Here is a 22,793-nt window from a genome sequence, read left to right as displayed (position 1 = left end):
GGAGTTGCCAATTCAGCAAAATTGGTAGAGTATTCCATCTCCAAATAGCCCCCTAAAATGATTTCTCATGATCTGCTATTCCATTGTTAGTGTATTATTCTTCACTCAGGAAGACCTTCTAGAAGACGTATTTTCCTTGTAGGGCATTCTATGAAGTCTCTAACACTTAGTTATGGTATAATTTATAAGTCATTGTTTTTCATACTCATTAACCCTTTCCTTGTAATAAAATATATACTAAGACACTAATTTTTAGTCCTAGCATTTATCAAAATACCAAAACAGTAGCAGCAGATGGCTAACATTAAAATAGCAGTACTTTATGGACCAAAAGGGATACACTAGTTTCCCTATTTAGTGACAGTCGCTTTTTACTGGTGCGGGATATTTGCTCCTTATTTCAGATCAAACCAAGTTCTTGTCACTTGACCAAGAAAGATTAGGCACGTGGACATATTAAAAGGTGAGGAGAGCAGAATTTATTAAAAGAAAGCTCTCAGTGAAAAAAGGAGGGGTCCCAACAGGCTCCCACTTCACAGATTGAATACCAGCTCATCACAAAGGAGCTGAAGAGGTCAGGCTCCTCCTCCCTTCACAAGGCACAAACTTCCCGTTAGCTCCACCCAATCTCCCAGCTGCTGGCATGAGCAGACAAAACCCTGGGCAGGTTCCCTTATCTGCACAAAAGCATCTGATGTAAACACTTGTAGGATGGGTTGGAGATTCTCCCAGGACCACCCCTCCCTCCTTATCTGCCTCCTGCATCTATCACAACAATCAGTTTATCTGGTTAACCTCTTATAACCTCTAACACATCTTCATTAAGGAGAACAAGGCTGCCATAGGTTGGGGAACAAATAAAGACAAAAAGTTCAGGACCCCATGAGTCCTTTAGATGCTTACAGAAAATATTACTTGCAAAATTACTATAAAGTATTCCACCTAACCATCCCTCAAGAAGGTTTTTCTCAATTTATCTTCATAGCTCATAAACTGTGCCTTTTTTTGTGGCAAAATGTCCTGAAGAATTGTGTAAGAACACTGCAAAGTTGTGTACTACTTGCTTAAGGTATACCTTAGAAGCTAGGCTCAAAAGAGAGTCCCATGCTAGAAAGATACAGAGGCCAGATAAAGGGGTGAGGACAGAGCTGGTATGAGTAGGCAGAAAGATGTTGTAAAGCATTTGGCAGCTAGTAACCAAGGTATCAGTGACCATTCTAGATCATTATTCATGGAAAAACCTTCCCAGATCCTGGATAACACAGCATTTTAGTACTTTGGAGAGCAAATTCTTTCACTGTACTCAAATCTGAAGAACAAATGTAAGGAATGTATAATAAGATTATTTCATCCTGAGGCACATAAAACCAGATATTAACCAGTAATCTAGAAACACATATGGTTCCAAATATTATAGAGACCTTAGAGAAAGCAAATTTGGGCCAACTCCAGCAAAACCATAAACCCAAGAAAATGCATTTAAATGTGATTCTACCTAATTTAAGATCCTCGGAAGACGTGAAAAAGAATGAGTATAATAAATAACCCAATTTTCCCATTCTATGCAATTCAAACCAACAGCCTCTTCTCTCATCTCTAATAAAATTGGAGGTGATTGGATGGGAGATGAGAAGTAAAAAATCAAGGGATATGGTTAATAATAAACCCAAACCTATTAACTCATCTTAAATTTGAAGGCCAGAGTAGCTAATTTTGATATTATTGCCACTTTTTTTTCCCCAATTTTACAAATCCTTATGCTTCCTGTATATCTTCAACTTGCTTATTTACTTTTTAAAGATAATTTGAAACAAAATGTATTATCTTCACAATGTCTGTGGGACAGGAATTTTGGAATGACTAAGCTAGGTGATTTTGGTTCAGGGTCTCTCATAGAGTTCAGACAAAGTATCATCCAAGGCTACAGTCGTCAGAAACTTGATTGGAGCAGGAGCTACTTCCAAGGTTACTCACAGGCTGGGAAGTTGATACTGACTGTTAGTGGATGTCTTCAGTTACACTCTCTGTCCCCTGCCCTGATATGGCCCATCTGCTGCTAAAATGGTAGCATACTCATGATATTACATAATTGACCTTCAACTGGTCTCCCAAATGAAAGAAAATTCTACCCAACAAGAAGCCAATTCAATAGCTTATTTAGATTCGACACATCTTCTGACAGTTTCATAGAAATATCACCAGTTTTCTTGGGCTTCAATGTTGACCAAGAGATGATAAAACATTCCTATACATTTATAGCAATGTAAATTTGTTAATGGAAATTGTAAAAAAGAAATCCCTTATAGACTTTTATTACATCTCTATAATACATTTGAGATATATATTATTTCCCTCATTTTACAATGGAAGTAAAGCCTTTAAAGCACCGTCCATAATCACAGGAAATTTACTAACCTGAAGTCCAACAAAAATACCAGTATTTCAACATTTATGTTTCTTTTCGTTTCCCAGTGAATATAATGGATATAAATTGAAAAAAAGGTGAGAACCCATATAGCCAAAAAACTGTTAGCAAAATATTCATTTTAAAACATGATTTCTGGCTGAGCATAGTGGCTCCTGCCTGTAATTCTAGCATTTTGGGAGGCCGAGGTGGGTAGGTTGCTTGAGGACAGGAGTTCAAGACCAGCCTGGAAAACATTGTGAGACCTTGTATAAATTAATAAATAAAAATTTAAAAAATCAGCTGGGCATGGTGGCACATGCCTGTAGTCCCAGCTACTTGGGAGCCTGATGCAGGAGGATTGCTTGAGCCCAGGAATTAGCGGTTACAGTGAACTATGATCATGCCACTTTAGCCTGTACAGAAGAAACCCTGCCTCTGAATACAAAACAAAAGAAAACAATTTTTTTTCTGACTAGTTGAAGAAAACATTCCAAACTACAGCTTGCACTCTATCTTTATGTATTTTCAAAAACTATTAACATTTCAAACTTGTATAATGCAAATGTAACAATGCTTATCATCTTAAGCACCAATGGATTTCAACACTTGATAAAATTTAGCTCAAGCTTATCTCTGAACAGTCTGCCAGAGGAGTTAAAAATATAGTCAAGCAGTAAAATAGCAACAGAGATTAAGTGAGGATTGACTTGAAGAGTAGGATGGTAAATTGTACTGATTCTACTGAATTAATCATTTCTCATTGATTTTTAAAATCCTTAGTGGCCCATTACAACGATCTCTATCTCCAGCTGCTTAGATGAAAAGTTTTATTTTTTTTTCTCCACAAAGATGAAGATGTTTCCATGGAAATGGGCCAATTTATCATAGCAAAATTAGATTATATTTCGGTTTTTAAGAATTTTGTATAACTGATTAAATCTTTTCATTTGGGATATGTGAAGATTATTACATTATCTCCATGTCACTTCCCATTCAGTGATGTTTATATGAGGGCAATCTCACTTACATGTGCCCAAAATATAATGTGACCCGGTGACTTCAAATGCCAAAACAGATAAAAAACAAATGGCATCTTCATTCATCATTTGCATATCTCTATTAGAACCTGCATTTGTAGGTTTCCAGGCAATGTCAATATGTCAGAACACACACAAAGCTTTAGTTCATCTTAAAGAAAGTGCCTAGAATTATGAAAGGTAATAACAAAATTAGCAAAAACTACTTGCTGTATTTTTCTTTTGGATTCCTCACTTAGAATTTTTTAAACTTGTATTTATCAGAATAAGAAAGAATGCTACTCGTATGAAATTGAGGAGTGTCCTTTTTAGATTAATAGAATTCTAGTCTGGTTTATGGTTCAAACAGGCTCAGGAGTCATCAACTTATAAAATATCCTAAAAATAACAAATAACTATGTTGACAAGCCTAACATTAAAGACGAAGCAATTAATGGCAGCATATTTTATGCCATAGACAGTTGAAAAACAATTTTTCTTTACAAATATGACAATTTTTGTTTTCATTTTTATGGTTGGCATAAGGCCAATTATTGTTTATACTTTAATGTGTAAATAATTGGATTAAAGTGTGACAATTACAAATTGAATAATATTTGCAAAATATCCTTTTAATTCTCTCTTGTCAAGAAACTATTTTAATTTGATATAATTAATGTCAGAGACTAGAAAAAATAAAGCATTCCGATAGTTTACTGACCACTGCCCTTTTTCAGAATTTTAAATAGAAACCAACTTATAACTGTTCCTTAATGGATTCAATCATATACCCATTTGTTCTTCACGTATGCTGGGCCACGTAAGAATGTTTTAGTGATTATAACACATGGGTGCTCAGCATCTGGTAGCTTAAAACCTAGAGAAACCTATCACACAAAATTGTAAGTAATTTATCAGTTTTTTATACTAATGTAAAAACTTCAGCTAAAGTACCTTTGATAAAAATTTAAAATATTTTAATACAAGTATCAACATAAGAAAAAAATTAACAGAATTTAACCACAATAAAAAAACATAAACTTCCATTTTTAACCATGACATTTTAAATAACATCATTCTGAAGTCTACACTGTGATAAATATATTAGCTACTGCAGCAAGTTCTGAAATAAATAAATCACAAATTCTTTACAAATAGGTCCCCATCATTAGCTTTACAACTTCCTTGACAAGAGGCTTGGTGTGATTACGAGGTAATGTAAAACATCTGTAGTTTTATCTAAATATTCTAAGTTTTTTTTGAACATAGTCTTAATCTTTATTTAATAAGCACTTTACATAGTGCTTATGATGTGTCAGGTACACTTTTTTTTTTACTTGGTATTCCATGGTGTATATGTACCACATTTTTTTAATCCAGTCTATCACTGACGGGTATTTGGGTTGATTCCAAGTCTTTGCTATTGGGAATAGTGCTGCACTGAACATACGCATTCATGTTTCTTTATAATAGAATGACATATTCATTTGGGTACATACCCAGTAATGAGATTGCTGGGTCGAGTGGTATGGCTGTCTTTAGGTCTTTGAGGAATCGCCCAGGTCTTCCACAATGGTTGAACTAATTAACACTCCCACCAGCAGTGTGTAAGTGACCCTTTTCTCCACAACTTCGCCAGCATCTGTTATTTTTTAACTTTTTGATAATAGCCATTCTGACTGGTGTGAGATGGTATTTCATTGTAGTTTTGATTTCCATTTCTCTAAGGATCAGTGATGAGCTTTCTTTCATATTCTTGTTGGCCACATGTATGTCTTTTTTTGAAGACTATTTGTTCACGTCCTTTGCCCACTTTTTAATGGTGTTTTTTTTTTTCTTGTAAATTTAAGTTCATTAAAAATGCTGAATATTTCACCTTAGTCAGATGCATAGTTTGCCAAACTTTCTACCATTCTGTAGGTTGTCTGGTTACTCCGTTGATAGTTTATTTTGCTGTGCAGAAGCTCTTTAGTTCAATTAGATCCTATTTGTCAATTTTTGCTTTTGTTAATATTGCTTTTGACATCTTCGTCATGAAATCTTTCCCTGTGCTTTTATGTCCTAAATGGGATTGTCTAAATTGTTTTCCAGGCTTTTTTAGTTTTGAGTTTTACATTTAAGTGTTTAATCCATCTTGAGTTAATTTTTGTATATGATGTAAGGAAGGGGTCCAGTTTCAGTTTTCTGCATGTGGCTAGCCAGTTATCCCAGCACCATTTATTGAATAGGCAATTGTTTCCCCGTTGCTTGTTTTTGCCAGGTTTTTTGAAGATCAGTTATTTGTAGGTGTGCAGTCTTATTTCTGGGTTCTCTATTCTGTTCCATTGGTCCATGTGTCTGTTTCTGTACCAGTACCATGCTGTTTGGTTACTGTAGCACTGTAGTATAGTTTGAAGCCAGATAGCATGATGCCTCCAAATTTGTGTTTTGCTTAGGATTGCACTGGCTGTTTAGACTCTTTTTGTGTTCCATATGAATTTAAATTTTTTTTTCTAGTTCTGTGAAGAATGTCAGTGGTAGTTTAATGGGAGTAGCATTGAATCTATAAATTGTTTTGCATATTGTGGCCATTTTAATGACATTGATTCTTCCTACCAATAAGCATAAAATGTTTTTCAATTTGTTTGTGTCAGCTCTGATTTCTTTGAGTGGTGGTTTGTTCTCCTTGTGGAGATCTTTCAGTTCCCTTGTTAGCTGTATTCCTAGGTGTTTTATTTATTCATTTATTTTTTTTTTTGTGGTAATTGTGCATGAGCGTTCGTTTGTGATTTGGCTCACAGCTTGACTATTGTTGGTGTATAGAAATGTTAGTGATTTTTGCACATTGATTTTGTATCTTGAGTTGTTGCTGAAGTTGTTTATCAGCTTAAGAAGATATTGGGCTGAGACTATGGAGTTTTCTAGATATAAGTTTATGTCATCTGCAAAGAAGGATACCTTGACTTTCTCTTTTCCTATTTGAATTCTTTCTTTCTTTCTTTCTTTCTTTCTTTCTTTCTTTCTTTCTTTCTTTCTTCCTTCCTTCCTTCCTTCATTCTTTCCTTCCTTCCTCCTTTTCTCCCTTTCTTTCTTTCTTTCTCTTTCTTTCTTTTCTTCTTTCTCACTCTCCCTTCTTTCTTTCCTTCCTTTCTTTTATTTTTTCTTTATTGCCTTTCTTTCTTTTCTTTTTTCTTTATTGCCTTTCTTTCTTTCTTTCTTTCTTTCTTTCTTTCTTTCTTTCTTTCCTTCATTCCTTTTCCTTCTTTCTTTCTTTCCTTCTTTCTTCCTACCTTCCTTCATTCCTTCTTTCCTTCTTTCTTTCTTTCTTTCCTTCTTTCTTCCTTCCTTCATTCTTTCCTTCCTTCTCTTTCTTTCTTCTTTCTTTCTCACTCTCCCTTCTTTCTTTCCTTCCTTTCTTTTCTTTTTTTCTTTATTGCCTTTCTTTCTTTTCTTTTTTCTTTATTGCCTTTCTTTCTTTCTTTCTTTCTTTCTTTCTTTCCTTCTTTCCTTCTTTCCTGATTTCTTGCTTTCTTGTTTTTCTTTCTTTCTTTCTTCCCTTTGCCTGATTGCTCTGGCCAGAACTTCCAATACTATCTTTAACAGAAGTGGTGGAAGAGGGCATCCTTGTCTTATGCCAGTTTTCAAGGAGAATGCTTCCAGCTTTCACCCATTCATTACGATGTTGACTGTGGGTTTGTCATAGATGGCTGTTATTATTTGGAGGTATGTTCCTTCAATACCTAGTTTATTGAGAGATTTTAACGTAAGTTGATGTTGAGTTTTATTGAAATATTTTTCTAAATATATTGAGATAATTATGAGGTTTTTGCCTTTATTTATGTTTATGTGAATAACCACATTTATGAATTTTCATATTTTGAACCAACATGGAATCCCAGGGGTAAAACCTACTGGATTGTGGAGGATTAGCTTTTTAATGTGCTGCTGGATTTGATTTGCCAGTATTTTATTGAGGATTTTGACATTGATGTTCATCAAGAATATTGGCCTAAAATTTTCTTTTTTGTTGTTGTTGTATCAGCCAGGTTTTGGTATCAGGATAATGCTGATACCAGTTAGTTAGTAGGCTATTTATTACTGACTCAATTTCAAAAGTAATCAGGAGGGGAAAGAGAGAGGGTATGGTAATCCACATGTTGTAAGAGAAAAGGAGCAGGTAGGAGAATAATCAATTATATTTTTGTCTTGTTCTCAGCAAATTGGCACTTTATATAAGAGCATGTGAACATGGCATAGCTGCCTATGGAGATATTTTACCTTTCATCTGTAGTTGTCTGCTTAAGAACAGAAGGAAAGTAATTTCTTGCATGACTCAGCTTTCAGCTTATTATTATTATTTTTCTTTGGCATAGTGAATTGAGTTCTCAAGTTTTCATTTCCTTGTCACCTATCTTTTGGAGTATTTTTCAAAATTGTAATTTTAAAACACGCACCCTGAAGATTCTGATAGGAAAAAAGTCCCTCCTCCTTGAATTTTTGAAATAGTTTCATCAGGAATGGTACCAGCTCTTCTTTGTTCATCTGGTAGAATCAACTATGAATCCATCTGGTCCTGTGCTTTTTTTAGTTAGTAGGCTATTTATTACTGACTCTATTTCAGAACTCATTATTGGTCTAGAGATTCAATTCCTTGCTGGTTCAATTGTGGGAAAGTGTATGTGACTAGGAATTTATTTATTTCTTCTATATTTTCTAGTTTATGTGCATAGAGGTGTTCGTAATCTCTGAGTTTTGTTTGTAGTTCTGTGGGGTCAGTGGCAATATCCTCATTGTTTCTAACTGTGTTTTTTTTTTTAATTTTCTCTCTCTTTTTTCTTTATTAGTCTAGTTAGAGTCTATCTTTTTATTATTTTTTAAAATAAAGCCAACTCCTGAATTAGTTCATCTTTTGAATTTTTTTTTTTTCTGTCTCCAATTCCTTCAATTCAGCTCTAATTTTAGTCATTTCCTATCTTCTACTAGCTTTGGGATTTGTTTGCTCTTGGTTTTCTAGTCCTTTTGGTTATGATGTTAGTATGTTGACTTAAGATATTTCTGACTTTTTGTTATGGGCATTTAGTGCTATAACCTTTTATATAAACATTGCCTTAGCTGGGTCCCAGAGCTTCTGCTATGTTTTATCTTTGTTCTCATTAGTTTCAAAGAACTTCCAAATATATGTCTTAATATCATTATTTACCCAAAAGTCATTTAGAAGTCATTCAATTTCTGTGTAATTGTATGGTTTTGAGTGAATTTCTTAGTCTTGATTTTTAATTTGATTGTGCTGTGGTTTGAGAGGTTCTTTGTTATGATTTCAGTTATTTTTCATTTTCTCAGGAGTGTTTTATTTCCAATTATGTAATTAATTTTAGAGTAAGTGCCATGTGAAAATGAGAAGAGTGTATATGCTGTTGCTTTTGAGTGAAGAGTTCTGTAGTTATCTAACAGGTCCATTTGATCAAGTGCTGACTTCAGGTCTTGAATATTTTTGCTAATTTTCTGTTTCAATGACCTGTCTAATATTGTCAGTGGGGTATTAAAATCTCCCACTATTATTGAGTGGGAGTCTAAGTCTCTTTGAAGGTCTCTAACAACTTGCTTTATAAATCTGTGTCCTACTATGTTGGGTACATATATATTTAAGATAGTTAGCGCTTCTTGTTGAATTGAACCTTTTACCATTATGTAATGCCCTTTTTTGTCTTTTTTGATCTTTGGTGGTTTAAAGTCTTTTTTGTCAGAAACTAAGATTGCAACCCCATCTTTTTCATGTTTTCTATTGTCTTGGTAAATTTTCCTCCATCCCTGTATTTTGAGCCTATCTGTTCATTGCATATGATTTGGGTCTCTTAAAGACAGCATAGCAAGGCCTTGGTTCTTTATCCAGCTTGTCACTCTGTATTTTAGCTGGGGCTTTTAGCGCTTTTACATTTAAAGTTAGTGTTGATATGTGTGGATTTGATTCTGTTATCATGATGTTGGCTGGTTATTTTGCAAACTTAGTTTATGTGGTTGCTTTATAATGTCACTGGTCTGTATACTTCAGTGTGTTTTTGTAGTGGTTGGTAATAGTCTTTCCTTTCCACATTTAATCCTTGTTTCAGGAGCTCTTTTAAGGCACGTCTGGTGGTAAGAAATTCCCTCAGCATTTGCTTGTCTGATAAATAACTTATTTCTTCTTTGCTTATAAAGCTTGGTTTGGCTGGATTTGAAATTTTTGGTTGGAATTCTTTTCTTTATAAAATATTGAATATTGGCCACTAATCTCTTCTTGCTTGTGGGGTTTCAGCTGAGAGATTCGCTGTTAGTCTGATGTGCTTCCCTTTGTAGGTGGCCTGGCCTTTCTCTCTAGTTGCCTTTAACATTTTTTCTTTCGTTTTGACTTTGAAGAATCTTATAATTATGTGTCTTGGGGATGTTTTTCTCATGGTGTACCTTACTGGAGTTTTTTGCATTTCCTGAATTTGAATGTTTGTCTTTGTAACTGGGTTTGGGAAGTTCTCATAAATGATATCCTAAAATATGTTTTCCAAATTGTTTCCAATGTCCCCATATCATTCAGGAACACAGTCAGTCACAGATTTGGTCTCATTACATAATCCCATATTTTGTGGAGGTTTTGTTCATTCCTTTTCTTTTTTTTTTTTTCCTGTTTTTGTCTCATTGTCTTATTTCAGAAATCTAGACTTCAAGCTCAGTGATTCTTTTCTCCACTTGGTCTCTTCTGCTATTAATACTTGTGTTCACATTATGAAATTATGTAGTGTGTTTTTGAGCTCTATCAGGTTGGTTACGCTCTTTTCTCTATTGACTATTTTGTCTGACAGCTCCTGCAATGTTTTATTATGACTTTTAGCTTTCTTGCATTGGTTTACAGTGCACTCCTTTAGCTCAGTGTACTTCATTTCTATCCAAATTCTGAATTCTAATTCTGTCAGTTTAACTGCCTCAGCCTCAGCCCGGTTCCAAACCCTTGCTGGAGAGGTGATACAGTCATTTGGAGGAAAGAGGTTACTCTTGCTTTTTGAGTTTTCAGCATTCTTGTGCTGATTCTTTCTCATCTTGGTGGGCTTATTTAACTTCAGTATTTGAAGTTGCTGACTTTTGTTGACTTTTGTATGTTTTTCTTCCTTTAACAGTCTGTGCATTTTTCTGTAGGGTTGCTGTGGTATGCTGGGGTTCCGCTTCAATGCCTAGTCACCTCAGATTTTCCTGTACCTGCAGGTATCACCAGTGAAGCCTGCGAAGCAGCAAAGATGGCAGTCTGCCCCGTCTTCTAGGAGCTCTGTCACAGGGAGGTATGGACATATTGCTGGCTCAAATGCACTGTAGGAGGTGGCTGGAGACCCTGGTTGGGAGGTCTTGCCCTTGTCAGGAGGAATGAGACCAGGAACCTGCTTTAAAAAGTGCTTTGACCGTGTTTTCATAGACAAGCCGTGCTGTGCTGGCGGACCACTTCAGCTCATGGTCACCTCAGACACTCTGAAGCCTGAAGGCTGGAACAACTAAATTGCCCAAACAGCAAATATGACAGCATCTACAGAAATCATTTTATTTGAGTTATGTAGCAAGAACCCAACTTAAGCAAATATAAAATTTACAACTAAGTCACTATTTGGATATTAATGTGTATGCTAAACTGATTTGTTCATGGGCTAGTCAGCTATTCATATGATCTTTACAATTTTCTGAATTCCATTTTTTGGTTAAAAAAAGAAAACAAGCTGATACTTTTATCACTTTCTAAGAAACATTTGATTTAAATTCTTATGCCTTCAATATCTCATGTAAAATGCTAGTTTCATTACTACTGTAAGTAAATATGTGTAAAACAGAAAGTATCTGAGACAAGTCTCAATCAGTTTTGAAGTTTATTTGGCCAAGGTTAAGGATATGCCCAGAAGAAATAAACATGCAATCACAGAAACAGTCCCTGGTCTGTGCATTTCTCCAAAGATGATTTTGAGGACTCCAGTATTTAAAGGGGAAAAGTAATCTGGAGGGGAAAGAGAGGGTACGGTAATCCACATGTTGTAAGACAAAAGGAGCAGGTAGGAGAATAATCAATTATATTTTTGTCTTGTTCTCAGTAAATTGGCACTTTACATAAGATCATGTGAACATGGCATAGCTGCCTATGGAGATATTTTACCTTTCATCTGTAGCTGTCTGCTTAAGAACAGCAGGAAAGGTAGTTTCTTGCATGACTCAGCTTTCAGCTTATTATTATTATTTTTCTTTGACATAGTGAATTGAGTTCTCAAGTTTTTATTTCCCTGTCACCTATCTTTTGGGGTATTTTTCAAAATTGTAATTTTAAAACATGCACCCTGAAGATTCTGATAGTGATAGCAAAAGATGTGAGACAAAATCTGTACTTTTTAAAAGTCTCTAGGTGATTTTCTTAGCAGTCCAATTAGGGAAAAACTGATTAAGGACTCTATACTAAAACAGACTTGCAAAAGAGAGATGCTAAAGCATTTGAAGACTCTATAATAACAAAATTAAAAATATATATTTATTTCAAGTATCCAATACTGACTACAGAAGATAATAGACTTATTTCTAGAACTCATGAGTATACTCTTAGAAATCTTATAGAAGACTTTTATGTTTTGGTGTCCAGGCTGTGTCATCTGGTCACAGTTAGCCGGTATAAAAAATATGTAGACTTATAGGTTCTTTTTTTTGTTTTTATTTGTTTACTTTTTTGAGACAGAGTCTCGCTCTGTTGCCCAGGTTGAAGTGCAGTGGTGGGATCTCGGCTCACTGCAAGCTCCGCCTCCCGGGTGCACGCCATTCTCCTGCTTCAGCCTCCTGAGTAGCTCGCCACCATGCCTGGCTAATTTTTTGTATTCTTTTGGTACAGACGGGGTTTCACCGTGTTAGCCAGGATGGTCTCAATCTCCTGACCTCGTGATCCGCCCGCCTTGGCCTCCCAAAGTGCTGGGATTACAGGCGTGAGCCACCGCGCCCGGCTAGACCTATAGGTTCTTTAAAAAAATTCCAAAGAAGTGGGTGGGCAGAGAGTAGTAAGTTATTCACTGATAATATCTCTACTAATGCCCACTCGTGATGGCTAAAGATACATAGAATTTAAACTTACACACACACACATATAAGACACACACACACACACACACACACACACACAAAGACACAGCACCCTTCTCCCACAGTATCTTCTGCTGAATATTCTCTGTATCTTCATTGGTACTTTGATTATAAGCTGATTTTCCTGAACTTTCCAGAATATCTTTAGGATTTCGTTTTCCTGAATTATCCATATATCTACTAAACATACCCTTACTGGCTTTTTTTTTTTTTTTTTTTTTTTTTACATAACTCTAACATCTTATTTTACCCCACAGTTCCCTACAGATATTCCTATAATTTTACTTTACCAGAATTATTTGGTCTTCTTTTCCCTCGAAATATCTCAACAACTCTTTCATCAATAGATTCTTTGAGTTCACAACTCTCTTTAATCACTACCAGTTACTTCACCCAACTTCTCAGTCTTACTAAAGAAAAATAAATTACGCTGGAAAACATTAATGGTTGCTGCCACACTATTACTTACATGTCTGCCACACAAGGTAAATAAAAAGAGTTATAAATATTCTGAAACCAAATATGTTAGAAGTTTGGGGTGTACTTTGGTTTTACACAGTGCCTAATAAAAATGATGTTTCTATTTCTATGAAATGAATATACTTTTCAATTATCTACCTCATTGTCATTTACTTAACCAACATTCTAATTTTCAATGTAGGAAAGAATAGAGAGATTTTTGAAGAATAGAGCTGCCTATCAAAGAGGAAGTGCCACCCAAATCTACTTACTTTACAAAAATAGCTTAATTGAAATTGACATAAGCTCAAAACAAATATTCAATTGAAAGAATTTTAAAAAACAAACTAAGTAAAAAAATTATTGTACTTCTATAGGAAATATCTCAGGCCACAGTTCTTTGTCTGAATACATTATAAGAGAAATAAACTGAAAAATCCAGATATTTTATTTCATTTTACAATACTCATGCAGTTATTTGTTACTTTTATTGACATAGATGACATTCTAAATTATAAATGACCATTAACTTAAGCTACACTTAATGTCATGAGAATTCTACTTATCTAGTTAAAAGATAATTCCTGATGTAAGAGTATTCTGAACTAGTTTTGAAAACTTCAATAAATAAGAAATAATCTCTAGATAATTCTTGTAAAATTATCAAATTTCTTTCCTTAGCTCCCTAAGAAAAACATACATTCCAAGGACTTGGTAAATTAAATTAAAAATAACTTTTTCTGGGACTGTTTCTTTAAGTTTCACTGGTCAACAATGTTGCCATTCTTTATATTTTACTTTATTTTATTAGGCAGAGTCTTGGTCTGTCACCCAGGCTGGAGTGCAATGGCTCCATCTCGGCTCACTGCAACCTCCGTCTCCCACGTTCAAGTGATTCTCATGCCTCAGCCTCCCAAGTAGCTGAGACTACTGGCACGTGCCACCACACCTGACTAATTTTTGCATTTTTTTAAGTAGAGGCGGGGTTTCACGATGTTGGCCAGGCTGGTCTCAAACTCCTGACTTAATGTGATCCACCCTTCTCGGCCTCCCAGAGTGCTGGGATTACAAGCGTGAGACACAATGCGTGCTGGGCCTAACAGTGTTCCCATTCTCAACTCATAGATCTGGTTTATAAAAGTCAGTCAGATATTTTCTAGACCATATAAATGTCAGTCACAATATTTATCAAAATGATCACTCACTTTAAATTTAGCTGTGGTACAGACTGTGAACCACTTACGCTTAGTTTGACAGAGCAGATGTGAGGATCAATGTTTATCTTCATAATTATGTCATAAAGTTCTTACATCTCAAAGACTGTGTGCTTACATTCACAAAATTCTAGAACTCGACATGTATAATTCGACAGATTTTCTCTTCCAACTGATGTGATGTAGCAAGATGAGCAACAAAAGAAGAATCCCAAGATAATCACGTAATTATGTTAGGAGAGATTCTCAGTTCAATCTAATCCTGTCTAAACAGGCTGAAAGAAATTAGTCACTCAGAATTATATAAAAGGCTCTATTGAGGTATGTAAAACAATCTGCACAGATTTTTTCAACCTCTTGTTGTGCCACCTAGGATATATGAATAGAGTTAAATTAGAATGTTGCTGTGAACTATTTCTTCAACTTTATCTTCTTAGGAAGTTTTGTAGTTGTTTAGGACTGGGGAGAGAACTTAAAGAAATAACAGGAACTTGAGAAGAAATCACTTATACAGGGGCACCTCACTTAAAATTGCTGAGCAATTTAAGCATAAATATAGGGCATAGATATAGACAGATAGGAAGACCAATAAATTGATCAAATCAATTATATATATATTTATACATATATATATATATACATAAGTAGATTTACAATGTCTTTCACATTACATGCAGATATTAACCATCAAATCCTTGTTATGTAGAAAGAGTGACCACAAAAGATGCACCGATTTATTTAATGTCTAATTCAGTAAATAAATACTCATCAGCTTCCATGCATGTGCCAGGTCTTCAGCTAGATTTTAAAAAAATACAATGTTGATTCAAATAATTAAAATTCATTCTCTTATATAATATAATATAAAAAAAATTAAAAAATACATTTATTTCAATTATCCAATACTGACTACAGAAGATAATAGACTTATTTCTAGAACTCATTGCATTTATGTCTAGAAAACTGCATTTTCAAGACAAAGGACTTAGAGAAATAGCACAAGTGTGTGCCTGTGCAGACGTGCATTAATTGGTGAAATAAAAATATTAAATATATAATATACTAGGCATACTAGGGTGTGAACTAAATAATTGTATTAAGTATATGTAATGTATATTCTGTGTGTGTATGTGTTTGAGCATATGTCTGTCTGTATGCATGTATAAATATTTAATATATATGTACAGTACATGGTATTTTCTACCTATGTCATGGTTTCTATCAGATAGTGACAATTCCAGTGAAGAAAAATAATACCAGAGGGCCAGGCATGGTGGCTCACGCCTGTCATTTCAGCACTTTGGGAGGCCGAAGTGGGTGGATCACCTGAGGTTAGGAGTTCGAGACCAGCCTGACCAACATGGTGAAACCCTGTCTCTACTAAACATACAAAAATTAGCCAGACGTGTTGGCAGGCGCCTGTAGTCCCAGCTCCTCGGGAGGCTGAGATAGGAGAATTGCTTGAACCCGGATAGTGAGGAATAAGTTGCTGTGGGTTGAGGGTTTGCTAGGTTTATTTAGAATAGACAGATAAATCTTGATATGACATAATCTGATACCAAAATTTGGTAGATGTTTCACGTCCATTAGGGCAGTGTGGACAGTTAGGTGCTTTGACTTTTGCCTTGAATGATACAGAAAACCATTGTAGAGTTTGAGAAGAAACAGGCAATTCATCTTATGTATAATGAAAAGCCTTCTGCTGCAATGAAGAGAAAAGATTATAGAGGTAAATGAGCAAACGGAGAAAGCAGTTGGGGACCCCTGTAATAAATGCACTAGCCCAGGGATGCCAGTGGCTTGGGGAAGGTGGCAGCTTTATGAATTTTTCATATCTTTATAAAAGTCTCAATTCTTCATGGCACAGTCTTGTGCTGTAAGCTGTTATTTCACATCATGCGTGTTTCCTCAATTCCCCATTTTAAATCCATATATTAAGATATTTTTGTTTCTCTTAAATATATGATATTGAGGTACATTATCTTTATGAACTACTTTATATATCAATATATATTTAGACTATATTTTTAATTATATTTCTAAGTGTTCGATTATTATATAATAATTATAGAATATTTAGAGATGAGGGCAAATGAAGATCACCTTTAAGTCTACCATTTGAACCTTTGCATTCTTTTGTTTTGAATACATACATGTATATATGTGTATGATTATGGTCACTATAAAAGTAGATTGTTGTCTGATTTTTGCACACACAGGAAAATTTATATATGCTTAAATATGCCTAAATACTCATTATGTTTTAAAACGTAATTTTATTATTTAATAAATAATAAAATACATATATAATAATAATATTATTAATTATTTTAATCACCAATTATTTACTGAGTACTTAATATAGACAGGGCCTCTTCTTTGCACTTAGAATACATCAGTTAACACAACTAGGAAAAGAATGGCTGCACACATAAAACTTATGTTCTGTGGCAGGAAGTAACTGATAAATGATAATAAATAATAATAAATAATTGTAACATTATGATAGAAGGTGATAATTTTCATGGGAAAATATAGAACTACACAAAAAGGATTTAAAAAGAAGCTGAAATAAGCCCCTAAGTTGGCCTCATTGAGAAGAGATTGCAGTTAAATTTTTTTCATTATTATAAAGAGCTATATGTATCTTTGTTCATAATTTTTGTCTAAACCTCTGAAATTTTTCTTGGATGCATTCCTAGAAAGGGAATTAATGGGTTTAAGATAATATTTTAAAGCATTGTCATCCTATAGCCAAATAGCTATACAGAACTATATTTTAAAGCAATTTATGCACATACCAGCAGAATTCAAGTTATTATTTCAATGTTCCATGCTATTAATATTTAACAAAATCAAAAAATAAATTGTCCAATTTTTTTGTTTTTTCATTATTGTTATTTTTGTTTGTATTTCTTGAATTGTTTGATGCACCACCCCCCTTTAAATATGTTAAATCATTTACTGTTTCAATTTATTATTTGTGTAAAAGGCTATTGATATTCTTTGTTTGGCTTGTCTATTTTATTTTTCTACTTTTTGTGTTCAACTGTATGCATGTTTTAAAAATGATATTCTAGGTTTGATACACATGATAAAATATTTTTTCTCATTTTTACATTCCTTTTTAAGATAAATTTTGGGAAGCTGATCATACATATTTTTGTATTTTATCAAGTCTCTAAATTCTTCTCATTGAATTTATTATATTGCTTGTGTAGGAATCTGTTTATAGACTAAAGTCAAACAATCACATGTATTTTCACCTAGAATTTATTGTTTCTCTTCCTCCTGCTTTATCTCCTTTTTTTATTACTGTTCAACTCTTTAATATACTTTCTATTTAATTGAGACAATAAGTTAGGCACTGATCTAGCATTATGTTTCCCCAGATAGGACTTCAAATGTCCCATAAACATATTATCTCCAGTGATTTATTATAATTTTATGTTGATAAACCGTCTTGTGAAACAATTGTTTCTCTACCATATATCCTGTTTCATTAATAGATGGAATCATCCTTGAGCATTCTAGAATATTAAGACAAGCAAATAATACATTATTAAAATGTTGCATGTGTATAATATGTTTTGATATAACAGTAAATAATCCAAATCCCCAAAGATAAAGAATTTTTACTTTTCTGAAATTTTATATAACGTAGTATAATCAGATTTTTAATTTTAACTAATATTTTAGGTAGGTAGGGGTATATGATTGCCAATTTAATTTGAATTTTTTTACTTTTTAACCATTTTTCTTATATATTTATGTTCTTATTTATCATTCATGTATCTTTGTTAAAGGGTTCAAACATTTATTTTATTGTTGAGTTTTCTTCTTCACTGAGTTTTAAGTGTAACTTAGAAGTTCTGTACACAATTTCTTTACCCATTTATATTTGAAAACATCCTCTCACAGTTTTGCTTGGTTCTTCAATGCATTGAGCCTCTTTTGAAAATGAATTTTTAAAAAATATTTATACATTGAATTTATCTTCATTCTAAATTACAGCTCATGCCCTTTGAGCATTATTTTAAGCTTTCCTGATTCAATGTCACAACATTCGTTGGTCCATTTTGTGCCTGTGTTCTTCCTCAACTTTTGAAGTTGACCACTTACATTTGGGTTTATGATTTAACTTTTAAGACGTAAAACTTTTTCTGTTTTTGATGTGGACTCCAATTACTTCAATATTATTTGTAGAAAACTATCATTTTCTCATTCATTTCCTTGGGATCTTTGGCAAAAATCAATTGACTGTATATGTGTTTATTAATTTTTGTACTTTCTATTTCGTCCCATGCTTCTGTATGTCTGTCCTCCAATACCACACTGTCTTTATGACTATACTTTATAGTGAGTCTTGAAGCAGGAAAAGTAAGTCCTCTATGTACTTCTCTTTAGTAAATAAAAAATAAATTAAAAGCTTTTCTACTTTCTTTATAGTTTCAAAATCAGTTTAGAATACCCCTGCCAAGTATAATTGGAGTAATTTACAATCTCACCAACAGTCTGATTTGGTTTTCTTCACATTCTCATCAACACTTTTTATCTTTCATCATTTTGGATAGTAGCCGTTCTGACTTGTGTGACTATCTCATTGTAGTTTAATTTGTATTTCACCAATATTTAGTGATGTTGATTATTTTTTCATATATCTGTTTGCCGTTTGCATTTAGGAGCAGTTTCTTTTGAGAAACATCTATTTAGGTGCATTGACTACTTTTAATTGAGTCATTTGTTGTCTTGCTCTTGATTTGTTCCACAGAAAACTGTAGGGAGGTTCCTTAAAAACCTAAAAATAGAATTACTATATGATCTAGCAACTCTACTTCGGGGTCTATATCCGATGTATTTTATAAACATAAATACGTTGAAGAGCTATCTGCACTTCTATATTCATTGCAGGATAGGTTACAATAGCCAAGTTATGGAATCAAACCAAGTGTCCATAAACAAATCAATGGATAAACAAAATGTGATACACACTCACACACTCTTTATATGTAGTATATATATATATATATACACACACGTGCACACACACGCACACACACAACACACCCAATGGAATACCATTAAATCTTTAAAAAGAGGGAAATCCTATCATTTGTGACAACATTGATGAACCTGAGGACATTATGCTAAGTGAAATAAGCCAGGCACAGAAAGACAAATAGTACCTGTTTTTACTTATATGAGGAATCTTAAACAATTGAACTCATAAAGGCAGTGACTAGAATGATTATGATCAGAGGCTGGGGACTGGGGAGAATTGGGAGATATCAAAGGGTACAGTGTTTTAGTTAGATAGGAGAAATAAGTGATAAGTATTTGAGGTGATGATGTAGCAATTACCAATATTATTTCATATTATACATGTATCTGTTTTAAAAACTTAAAAATATGTAGCATAGTGAGACATCATTGGAATTTAATAAAGCTAGCTACTAATCTTTTTAATAAGGCTTTAGTTAAACATGTATAAATTTCTGGATAATTGAAATCTTAACATTATTGTATCTTTAGTTTCCTTAACATATATTTCCATTTATATAGGCCTTCTTTAGCTGTCAATAATGTTTCATAGAATATCTCAACAATCTATATTTTGGTAAATTTAGCCATACATACTACATGTGTTGGATGTTATCATAAATGATACAATTTCCAAATGCTTATTGCTAGTATAAGCAAATATCATTGATTTTCTTTAATAATCTTGTGTCCTGTAGTTTTATTAAATTTATTTATTTGTTCCAATAGCCATTTTGTATATTCTTCAACATTGCCTGTACACTCAGTTGTGTCATAATTTATCTGTAAAGAGAGTATTATTTCATCTCTCCTTATCTGCGTGCTTTTTGTATCTTTTTTTCAGCTTTATTACACTGGCTGGGGGCTCTAGTAAAATGTTACAGGTGGTAAGAATAAACGTTCTTGCTTTTTCCAGGTATTACAGGAAACTTATTCAGTTTTTCACCATTAAGTTTAATGATAATTGCTGGTTGTGTGCAAATCCCTGTATTGGTTTGCTAAGGTTGCTGCCAAAAAGTATCACAGAAATTTATTTCCTCACAGTTCTGGAGGCGAAGAAGCTGAACTCTAGATGTCACCACATTTGGTTACAGCTGTGAGGGAAGGATCAGTTCCAGGCTTCTCTCTTTGGTTTCCAAGTGGCTTTATCCTCTTTGTGTCTTCACAAGGTTTTCCTTCTGTACGTGTCTGTGTTTCAATTTTCTCTTCTCATGAGGACATAAATCATATTGGAATATGGCCCACTTGAATGAACTCATTATAGCTTAATTATCTCTGTAAAGACCCGATCTCCAAATATGATTACATTTGGGGGCACTGAGGATTTGAATTTCAACATATGGAATTCAGGAGAGGGAAGCAATTTAGCCCATAATGACACCTTTATTAAGTTAATACAATTATAAGACTATGTTTATGAATGATTGCTGCATTTTTGTCAAATGCTTTTTCTCTGTATCTATTGAAATGATTCTTTGGATTTTCTTTAGTAGCCTATCTGCACACTGAATTATATTAAGTGATTTTCTAATATTTAAACAAAGCTCACTTTTTGTAATTTACTACCTATATTTAATATTGCTGTATATGACTAGCTAAGATTTTGTTGAAGATTTTGGTGTATATTTCCTTAGGGATATTATCCTTTAGGTTTCTTTCCTTTTATGTATTTTTTCTGGTTTGGTAACAGAGTAATGCCGACCCTGTAAAATGAGCTGCAAAGTGCATCTTCTTAACTTGTATAGAATTGATATTATTTCTTTCTTACATATGTAGTAGATTTTTAGCAGTGATAGATAGATTTTGGCAGTAGTAAATTTTTATCTTGCCTTGGAAATTTTTAAGGAAGCATTTTAACTATAAGTAAATTTTATTAATCCATAAATAACCCTTCTGTTTATCTATATTTTTCTTAAATTAGCTATGGTAGTTTTACTGTGTGTCAAAAATGGAAAAGTAAGTCAACAGATGTTCTAGAAAAAAAAGGAAAGTCTGTCCTTCAGGCTTTCTGTGGACTAAATATTTGTATATCCCCAAAATTCATATGTTGAAAGGCTAATTCCCAATGTGATGATATTTAAAGGTGAGGTCTTGCAAAGTAGTAGTTCATAATTAATATTCTTATAAAAAAAGGAGTAGACATGGGCTAACTCTCTCTGCACCCTACGATAAGGACACAGAAAGAAGAGGCCCATCTGTAAACCAGGAAAAGGACCCTCATCAAACTGAGCTCTGCCAACACACTGATCTTGGACTTCCCAGCCTCCAGAATTGTGAGAAATAAATGTGTGTGTGTGTGTGTGTGTGTGTGTGTGTGTGTGTGTGTTTAATATCCAGTATATGATAATCTGTTGTTGCAGGCTGATCTGTGGAGTTGAAGGCTGGGGAAGCATTTGTTGAGATAGTTTTGTCCTTTCATTTCCTCTCCAAGCCATATTCCCACATATCTAAGAATGTTAAAAGAATTCCTAGAGCTGAGATATTTTGCCCCACTTCATTTTGAGGTTATGCAAAGGATTCCTCAAAGTTACCCTTGAAGTATCCTAGTACTGTCCAATACATAAGCAAAGACAGAAAGCCTGTGTTATTTTCTTCAGACATCTTCCTACCAAAGAGGTTTTGTTTGACTTCAGGACATATGAGAGATATCTAGTCACTTGCTCTCCTTCTTAAATACTAAGGTAATAACCACAGGTTCACATTTTGTCTCCCTAGAAAGTATTAGAGATGCCAAAGTTTTCCTCTTAGCTAGAAAATGCATTTTCATTTTCTGAACTTACTATCTATGATCCCATAAAAGTAAACAGTTAAATAATTTAGTTCAAAAGGTACAAATTATGAATTCCGTGTGGTAATTATACATTCTTTACCTTTAATGAGGTGTGTGTATGTAACTGGCTATGGTGAAACAAATTTCAGAGGCATGGGCCAAAAATAAATATCATTGTATGTTTTTTCATGAAACCTAGTATTGAGTTTTTATACCTAAGTCACAGTTTTTCTAAACTTTTATAGCATAGTAGTATGTGCACAAAATATTTTTAGCTAAAGCTTAATATTTTAATTTTCAAAATCATTATTTGAATTTTAAATAGATTGCATCATTAAAATCAATAATTACATTTTAAACAGATAAATGTAAACAAAATTTGAACTCTATTTGTGTGTGTTTAATAGTATACAAGAAAATAAGGCCGGGTGCGGTGGTTCACGCTTGTAATCCCAGCACTTTGGGAGGCCGAGGTGTGCGGATCACGAAGCCAGGAGATCGAGACCATGGTGAAACCCCGTCTCTACTAAAAACACAAAAAATTAGCCGAGCGTGGTGGTGGGCGCCTGTAGTCCCAGCTACTAGGGAGGCTGAAGCAGGAGTACGGCGTGAACCCAGGAGGCGGAGCTTGCAGTGAGTCGAGATCGCACCACTGCACTCCAGCTTGGGTGACAGAGCGAGACATCGTTTCAAAAAAGAAAAGAAAAGAAAAGAAAATATCACCTGTACATCTACAAAAAGCATTTTTTAACCAATAGAATATAATGTTGCTCTCAAGATATATATTTAGT

The 22,793-nt window shown here is 33.9% G+C and overlaps 3 long non-coding RNA genes across 4 annotated transcripts in view; 2 read left to right on the top strand and 1 right to left on the bottom strand.

Moving 5' to 3' along the window:
• The window catches only part of LINC02429 (long intergenic non-protein coding RNA 2429), a 62,678-nt gene extending 48,441 nt beyond the window's left edge, over nucleotides 1-14,237 (bottom strand). Inside the window, exon 1 of the long non-coding RNA NR_133941.1 lies at nucleotides 14,184-14,237. This is a non-coding gene — a long non-coding RNA (long intergenic non-protein coding RNA 2429). The remainder of the gene's footprint in view (nucleotides 1-14,183) is intronic.
• LINC02619 (long intergenic non-protein coding RNA 2619) lies at nucleotides 10,365-11,332 on the top strand. 2 transcript variants are annotated; one of them, NR_133940.1, is made up of 3 exons: nucleotides 10,365-10,415; nucleotides 10,630-10,703; nucleotides 10,835-11,332. It is a non-coding gene; the product is annotated as a long intergenic non-protein coding RNA 2619 (long non-coding RNA). The 2 variants fall into 2 exon arrangements; NR_133939.1 differs by having other exon boundaries at nucleotides 10,564-10,703.
• Nucleotides 14,238-14,351: 114 nt separating the features above from the next.
• LOC105377246 (uncharacterized) lies at nucleotides 14,352-22,448 on the top strand. Its single transcript, XR_938805.2, has 3 exons — nucleotides 14,352-14,513; nucleotides 21,406-21,505; nucleotides 22,410-22,448. It is a non-coding gene; the product is annotated as an uncharacterized LOC105377246 (long non-coding RNA).
• The last annotated feature ends 345 nt before the right edge of the window (nucleotides 22,449-22,793 follow it).

This window comes from Homo sapiens, chromosome 4, assembly GCF_000001405.40.
Source record: "Homo sapiens chromosome 4, GRCh38.p14 Primary Assembly".
Classification (NCBI taxonomy): domain Eukaryota; kingdom Metazoa; phylum Chordata; class Mammalia; order Primates; family Hominidae; genus Homo; species Homo sapiens.
The sequence above is the reverse complement of the archived record's forward strand: the minus strand, read 5'-3'. Positions and strand labels throughout refer to the sequence as shown.